Source organism: Homo sapiens, chromosome 8, assembly GCF_000001405.40.
Source record: "Homo sapiens chromosome 8, GRCh38.p14 Primary Assembly".
NCBI lineage: Eukaryota > Metazoa > Chordata > Mammalia > Primates > Hominidae > Homo > Homo sapiens.
In genome coordinates this window covers 52,402,406-52,410,731 of record NC_000008.11, presented here as the reverse complement: position 1 = coordinate 52,410,731, position 8,326 = coordinate 52,402,406, and the positions used below count along the sequence as shown (strand labels likewise).

Here is an 8,326-nt window from a genome sequence, read left to right as displayed (position 1 = left end):
CGTCCTCCAACCCCACCTGCGCTCAGCAGGTGCAGTCTGTGCTGCATGTATCCGTCCATACTCTCTGGCTCTGCCCCCAGAGCTGTTTGCCAACTCCTCTGCCATCTTAGGCAGATTCTGGGACAGACTCTGCTGCATGGTCTGCTTGTGTCTGTGTGGCTGGCTCCCATCTCCCAACTGCGGGAACAAGCCTTGAAGCTCTCATTCCACAGGCCTTGAGGACGTGGGACAGGAGGCCAAGGAGGTCCCTTCACGACCTCCTCTTTCTAATTTAAGCTTTTTCCATATCCGTGATCTGGCTGAGGGATCCAGAGTCGTTAAAGAAGTCTTTGGGCTGTTTTCTCTGCACTCCGTGGCGCAGGGGAAGGGTAAGTTTCCTACTGGGATCTGAGTAGGACGGACAGAGAAAGAGTCTGTCCTAAAATCTGGTTACTCCTCAAATCCAGTGAGCCAGGTACAATCACCATAACACAGAGAAACTGATTTCCAGGTGGTTTAAATAACCTACCCACCCGCAGCAACCCAGTGATTAGCTCGGCCTCAAATCCAGGCCCACTGAGAAGATTCTGTATTTGTCACTGCAGGGGCATCATGCACGTTCAGGATGAAGGGGCCTTGAGGGGAGAGGGCTGCCTCTTGACAGATACTCGGGGCAAGCAAGCAAAGAAACTCGGGGTGAGAAAGTGGAAGATCCCCCGCCCCTCCCCCTTTCTTGACTCCCACCGGCCTGCGCGGTCCACGCGGCGTGGACAACAGACCCTTGTGGGCCACTGTGGAGGCCGTGCCACTCGGCGCCAGCCCCACGGCCATCACCGGACCGCTGGAGATGTGACTGGGCTCGGGACATGAGCCCGCTTGTTCGCTCACTCTCAGTGAAAAGAGTTTTGAAATGAGTTCTGAATAGACAGCATTTTCTTTGTGCGGTTGGTAAATAACACAGAGCAAAGTTAGCAAGTTGCAGCGCCTCTGCGTTCTGATTCTATGGAACCTTTTTGTAGGGAGAAGGGCAGGATGTTTTTAACTGAATGTGACCTCAGGGGAATACTAGAGGTAAGGAGAGAAAAATAATTGAGGTAACTGTGGGTGTTTTACATCTCGGAAACCATGGCTTTTAATAAGGCCACATGAAGAGAGAAGCTGGCATCATCCCACGCAAAAACCAGTGCCTGGCAGAGTTGTGGAAGGTGCTATCACATTGGCTTGGCATTTGTGTAGCTTTGATTGAAAATCAATGGTTTTCTTATGATAATTTTCACATCATATTTTTTTTCTTCTTTAGAAAATAATAAAATTTCTGAATGGGGCAGCGTGGAGAAATCCTAAGAGAAATAGCATAAGAGCATTTTGGAACACATCCAGGAAAAGATAACTTTCGACACACCTGTAGACGTTCGCCAGGTAAAGGTAAGAAAAAATATTGTAAAATGCATTTAAGTTATTTTATTACATCGCACTGGGTTGAACTTTGAGAGAAAACATACCACTGGCGCAAGATGCGCAAGGAGGAGTTAGGAGGGCTCACCTTTTGCCCCTCCCTCTCGTGGGCATGGGCATGGCAGCCCTGTGTCCACCATGACCATCAGCGGCCACCTGAGTTGTTTCTAATGCCGGCTGTGGAGCAGTCGAAGACATGTTCACCAGGTCGAGGGGATCTGACTGAGTATGATACTCGGCAGACAGTTCTGCGAAAAAGTCAATGTATTTAATACTGCAAATGTTACTTGTACAGTAAGGAATTTCTTTTAGATTTATATTTGCACGGGGACTGACTCACTTTCTATTTAGGATTTTTAAAAACATCACTTTTTCTGTGCTCAGATGAGAAGTACATCTGTTGCTTTCACATAATAAGCATCAAATATGAAGACACGTTGAATGCTTGAACCATTTGTCGCTATAGGAGACCTGCAACATATGCATGCTATATGTCTGTTTACTGGAATACAGGCACTGAGGAATCAAACTTCATGGTTCTTTCTTTGAGCCATAAGATTTTTTAAAATCTCTAGCTAATTTAGGTCACTGAAAATGAACATTATTTTGGACTTTTGAATGGGTATTTTGAAGGAGGCTCAGAAGGACAAATACTGCATTGGTCACTACGCAGTACTTGGGATTGTAGATGAGTTTCTTGAGCAAAGCATAATAACCACTTTTATTTGTTGGTACAATATATACACATAACGTTAGCACTATGACAAGATTGTTCTTCCAGTTCACATAGAAATTAGCTGTTGATTCTCAGGGTTGTACAGTTTTCTGTCTCGTGACTGTGGGTTAAGGAAAGCACTTGTAACTGGGGGAGAGCAGACAGCGAGGCTCACAGTGGTGTTCCAGTCAGGAAGAGCTTCTGATTTTCCGGCAGTTGGTGAATACATTTATTGCACACAACTTGGAGCCTTGATCTTTCTAACTATTTCAGATAAATTGCTGTCAAATTAGCAGGAATGGTCCCTTCAGATAAACCTAAATAATTTATGCCAAAGTAGTGATTCTCTTGTAAGCTATGTTCAGGTGGTCAAGATAAAAATGACATTCCTAGCAACATGGTCCTACATTAAATTATTCATAGTCCTACATTAAATTAGTTTGATGTTATTCAAAAATAACATCATTTTTCTTACTGACTTTGTAACCAAACTTTTTAGGTGAGACAGCGTCCTTAGTTTGTGGCTTTGCAAGTTATCTGGGAAAACCTGTATTTCCAACACGAAATAAAAGTAAAAATAAAAAATTCCAAATTAAAAAAACCTTTGCTTTGATTATACCTTTAAACTATTTGAATTAAAATTCAGCTTTGTACATCACCACATAGGAAATCCAGGCCCTTGAGCAATGTATTGATGAATTGGGGTGGAAATGGAGGAGGATGGAAACGATGGCGGCACTGGACTGTTTTCCAGAAACCATTTACACAGGCTCACCAGAAGAGGGCAGCGCAGAGCAATGAACTCTCCGAGGAGTTTCCAAACAGATGTCTTGAAACTTAAAGTGAAAATCTCTGCATGAAAGTAGCCGTTTTTGGACAGCGTCCTCCACCAAAACCATATATCTCTAAAATAATAATAAAACTCCCCAAACATGCTAATCTCGAAATGGGTCCCTCAACATGGAAGGATTGAGTTGCAAGGGACAAAATTTTACTTCCCTGTCAGAGATGTTTTCACTTCGATTATCCTTTTGATTTATTTTATTATAAAAGACTATGTGAAGTCTAGTATTAGTCATGTGCACAAATATTCATTATGCAGCTTTTTGGGGTGATTTTTTTGATAAAAATATTGAAAAAATCACAAATTCAGATTCGTGGAAGATTCCCTACGCAACACAGCGTTTGAAGCAAAATGCAGCTTAAGGAAGTTTCCCATTAAATCCATATTTCCTTGATGCAAAATGATATCACATTGTTTTACTTGTTAATTTTTTTCTTCTCAGAATTACCACAGAAAATATTTTTTGTTTTATAATAAAACACGTGATACTCTACATTGGACATACATTTTACACTTGAAATCTGGAAAGAAAAACCTACTAGACTGGAACAGAATTCCAAAGAACGTGAGGGGACAAATCTATGGAGACATTTATATTTTGTTTTAGGGTTATTATAAAACTCTAGTTTCATCGTCTATGCATAAATGTTTAGGGGATCTAAATATCTTCACTAAATTTTATTCTGTAATCGGAAAGTTGGCATTTAAGATGATCATTCTTATAGGCTAATTAGGATGATAAAATCCTTTCCTCTTTTCAAAAGTTCACGAACGCATAACAAATTGGAACTACTTTTACAAGCCGAGTGTCCCTCTTATGCCATTAGCTTTCTTGGATTTACCTTCTAGATGACTTTGGCTCCTGTTAACTTCAGATCTTTGACATATCAAGTATGGTTGTTTTCAAAGGTTTCCCAGGCAACTGCAACAATTCATCTGGTTCTAGTCAAAAGTGCCCTTGAACTCTCAGCTCACTTCCCTTCCCTGTATGAGTAATGTGTGTAGCAAAAGGAAAAACACCAAAGACTTCATGTAATGGCTAATGTGAATGATTTGGTGAAGAGAGGAATGGATTTCACAAAAGGATCCACTTGGATGTTAAGACCTCAGCTGGCTGCCTGCGGGTTCCCTTTGTCAAGCTCTCATTTGCATTTAGGGGGAAGGCCACAACCCACATCATGTGTTCGGGGTTCTGTTTAACTCTTCCTCACAGTTCCTAGGGCCCCAAACTCTTACCCTAGGTGGCCCCAAGGACTCCTTCAAGGCCAGATCGCTGGCCCGCCAGGGAGTGACTGCCCCCAAATCTCTGAGAGATGCCTCAGGACTCCAGCTGACTCACACACACGCTGACCTGTGAGAATCATTCTGTGCTTCTTGTTTCTCACATAACCCACTGGGAAGCAATGGTTGGAGTCTTGTTGCATTTTACTTACAGGAAGAGTTTTATAATTACCTCCCAAGAAGTTCCTGAAGAACAGAGGAGGGAGTAATTGGAATCTCTGATCCTGTTGTTTGTGAAAGGTTCCTCTGCTTTACATTAATTACATTCTGTGTTGCGTTTAAAAGAAAAGATTTCACCTCATCTAGGCAGACAGTGCAGTTAGACCATCACCTTTTTTCCCCTTTATTTTGACTCTTGTCTTCACAGCTAATTTACTAGTGACTAAAATGATGGCAAATAAGGCAATATAATATGGACAGCCTGCAAATCCCACTCATGGAGCTCTGTAAGTGGGAGCAGATTGCTGTCTGAGTACAGGGCTTCTGCAGAAGTCTCCCTATCAACTCCACGTCGAACTCAAAGTCTAGAGAGCTTCAACAATTAATGATATGTCATCTGGATCCAGTCATAAAAGCATGATGACCACCCCTTCCCCCACCCCTCACCATTCCTTTCTCCTTGGATTTGTTATATTTCATTCTGTTCAATATAATTACTGAGATGTAAACATTCCATTGAAATGTGTCTAAGTAGGCAGATTTTTAAGAATCTACTTTTATGGGTCTATAACAAATTTTAGGAAGGCTATTTCATTGATATGTGAAAGTGTATAATAGTTGCTTTAGCTACTAGCCCTTCCAACAGCTACATTTACCACTGTGATTGTCACTTTGAATAATCCTTGTGTTATTAAAATTAATACAGATAAATATAATTTTATAGTAGGAAATGTAGTTGTCAGGATGTGAAACAATAGTAATCAATTTGAATAAATATTTGCTATTTGTTTTCATAAAAGTTTTAATCCTCAAAAGAGAACTCTGACCAAAATAGGAATATAGCAGGATCAATGAAACAGGTGGCATGAGTCATCTCACTGGCTTTTAATTAAAAAGGATGCTGTGGTTGTTGGCGTGGACTGGACTGCGCATAGGCAGTTTTAGAATTTCTTAAGCTGAAATCCAGCTGGAGAGTTCTTAATCAGAATGGACTTATTTTGATAATTTATAATCTGTGTATTCAGAGCATTGATGTTATAGTTTTGATACCTAAATCACCGTTTTAAAAATTCAAAGAGATATATGAATCCTGAGTCTCGGACAGTTATTCCTGAGCCAAAGGATTTCTGTGCAATGCTAATATGTATAATAGAGAATCAGTCTTTCACTGTACAGTTTTGTCATCATGTTTCAATAACTGAATGAATATTCTGAATTAATAAGCATAACGTTTGTATAAGCTAAAGACTAATCTAAGCTCTGCATTCATTGATGGGAACCTTAAGCAAATGTTTCTTTTCATCAGCTTGTTCAAAAGGCATAAACATAATTACAGTTCTGAGGCGATAACATATCGACTGGTTAAATAGTAAGTGGGTCTGGACAAGGTAACTTAAAGTTATGGGCTGCACGTTGTTTTGAGTACTTGGAAGCATCTGGAAAAAATAATTTTTTTAAAAAGATATTTTTACTGTTTATCTTATAGAAAAACAGTATGAGCATTAAACCCCCACTAGAATTTTGGAGGTTTTCTTTTTCTAAAGCGTTGGTTAAAATTCAGATAAGTTGATACTTACAGCTTGAGAGAAAAGATGGGGAAGTGGTAGAAATATCAAATCATGAGTTAGTTTTAAATTTCTCAGAATGCTCAGGGGGCAGTGAGGGAAAGAGGGACTTGCTGGCCATGTCCCCACACCTCCGCTTTGCACCTTTTGCTGAAGTTAGTTCCCGAAAACAGTGCTGGGTGTTTGGGTTACATCTGGTTCAGCCTTCTTTTCCTCCTTCCTTCTTTATCCGTCACATGGCCTGCCCTCTATCTCTTAAATCTTAGGTCTGTTGTGAGACTGGGGAAGGAGTGATGTGAACATGTGCTCCTGGGCCTGGAAATGCCCCTCTGCCCCGACTCCTTCTGTCTCAGCAGTGCTTGTCATTAATTCTCCCAACAAATACCTGAGCCCTTCTCTGTGCAGGATGGGTCTCAGTGCTTTGAATGTGCTGTCTCGTTTAATTCTCTCAAAAGCCCTTTATTGACAATGCTCTTATAATATTTTATACAGAAAGAATGGAAAGCTAATCCAATCTTTTTCTAATGTGGTTAATCAAATTTATTTATTTTTAATTAATGGTGGCTTAGAAAGCTTTCTTTCAGCATTACTATCCTTTATGAGATTGTCATAAATGTTTACTATTTTTCATTGTTCATGGCAAGGCGGCAATAGATCTTATTCAGAATTGATAATCAGTGTGATTTATCTGGTAGCCAAACCAAAAATCAAACTATTATGCTGTTTAGATATAATGGTAGCCACTAGAAGATTTACATCAAATGTTAGACCAGAAGCCCTTTCCATCAGTGACCAGGTTTGGTATCTGCTAGGAGGGAAAAGCCTGGTAACTGATCACCAGTGTTTCTGTTCTTTTTACTTTATAGTTTGTAATTTACCAAGGCATGATTAATTTTGCTGATGTTTAAGTTACTTACAATCATATTAAGAGTTAGAGAGGAGTGATATCAGCAAGATGGCTGACTAAAAGTGCCCAACACCCATTTCCTGGACTACCCCCACAAAAAATGAATAAACAATGAATAAACAACTACATTTTGACCACAGTGGCTGAAGAAGAGTGCGGGAGTACAGCAGGAGTGGCAGAAATCCAGTGGAGCACAAACACTAAGTATGGGCTCATACAGAAGAGGAGGAATCATGCCACACCCTTGCCACCCCACCTGTGCCACCCCATTCTCTTATTCAGCTCAGAACCAGGAAGGACTCCTTCCTGGGGGGAAAAGGTAAGCAGGAGGTACCCAGCAGCCCCTATTACCATTGTGGACACCAGCAGTCTTCACCACTGGAGAATTCTACAGTCCTCAAGGTCCCTGAGCTCAGCTTGGGGAGCTGCCTGGAGTTCACATAGCTGCACTGCTCCAAAGAAGGAGCCCACATTGTGCCTCAACTCTTGTAGGCCAAGCTGCTACTGCACTGTGCCATCTGGAAACCAGAGCCACTGCTAGAGTGTGTCCTGCTTGGGGGTCCAGTAGCCACTGTATCTGTTTATCCCTGAGGCCTGGCCACCATTGCACCATGCTTTCAAACATGGTAGTGCAACATTCCCCAACTGAGCTGCAGCAACTCCATACCCCCTGGGAACAAGCTACCTAGAAGCCACCCCATTTCCCCCATCCAAGTTGCTACTGTGCCCCAGCCCCAGCTACTTGGACCCAAGGCCCAGTGGAGCAGGCATGCACTTCAGTGCCTGAACCAGCCCAATGTCCCACCCCCAGGAAGTTGGAACTTTGGTCTAGGGGAGCAGTTACATCCCTGGTATCCAAGCCCTTATGGCAGTGTGCTCTTCAGGTTCCTGGATCCCAGCCCAGCAGAGCAGCCACACCCCATAGTGCTGAGCTGATGTGGTATACTGGCCCCCAGAGAAACAGCCTTGGCTGAGCTGTGCTGCCCCACCCCTGGGCTGAACAGCTGCCGTGCCCCACCTTCCTGGGTCTGGGCCAGCCCTCTGGAGTCTGAATTGACTCCAGAAGTGGCACCTGCTTCCCAGAGCCCAAGCAGTAACTGTGCTCCACTGTTCTTGGGTCCTTGCTGCCACTGCACCTGGCGTCACAGAGACTGACCTACTGCTGTATCCCACTGCTCTGGGACCATAGTCATCACTATGCAGTACCCCCACTTCTGATGCCTGAGTTGCCACTGTGCCCTATTGGTTCTAAGACCTGAATTGCAGCTGTCGCCTGCTCTCTGGGGACTGAGCGTCTAGAACACCCCTTCTTCCCTGGAGCCATGTCAATGCTGTGCCCTGATCTCCAGGATTAGAGTCACAGCTACATCCTTGAACCCTGGGCCCAAGCTACTGGGAAATGCCTTAGAGTCACAGTCCTT

At 42.6% G+C, this 8,326-nt stretch overlaps 1 protein-coding gene across 30 annotated transcripts in view; it reads left to right on the top strand.

The window, feature by feature from the left end:
- The first annotated feature begins 852 nt into the window (after nt 1-852).
- The window catches only part of ST18 (ST18 C2H2C-type zinc finger transcription factor), a 299,042-nt gene continuing 291,568 nt past the window's right edge, over nt 853-8,326 (top strand). For 17 of the 30 annotated variants that reach the window (NR_148195.2, NM_001352871.2, NM_001352836.2 and 14 more), the window contains exons 1-2: nt 976-1,050; nt 1,280-1,404. Coding sequence is in view for 6 of the 30 variants with exons in the window: in NM_001352879.1 (NP_001339808.1) it covers nt 982-1,050; nt 1,280-1,369 (159 nt within the window). In the remaining 24 variants the exon portion in view is untranslated. Of the gene's footprint in view, nt 1,185-1,279; nt 1,405-2,795; nt 7,032-8,326 lie in introns of those variants that run through there. The other 13 variants (NM_001352838.2, NM_001352862.2, NM_001352835.2 and 10 more) reach the window with 7 other exon arrangements.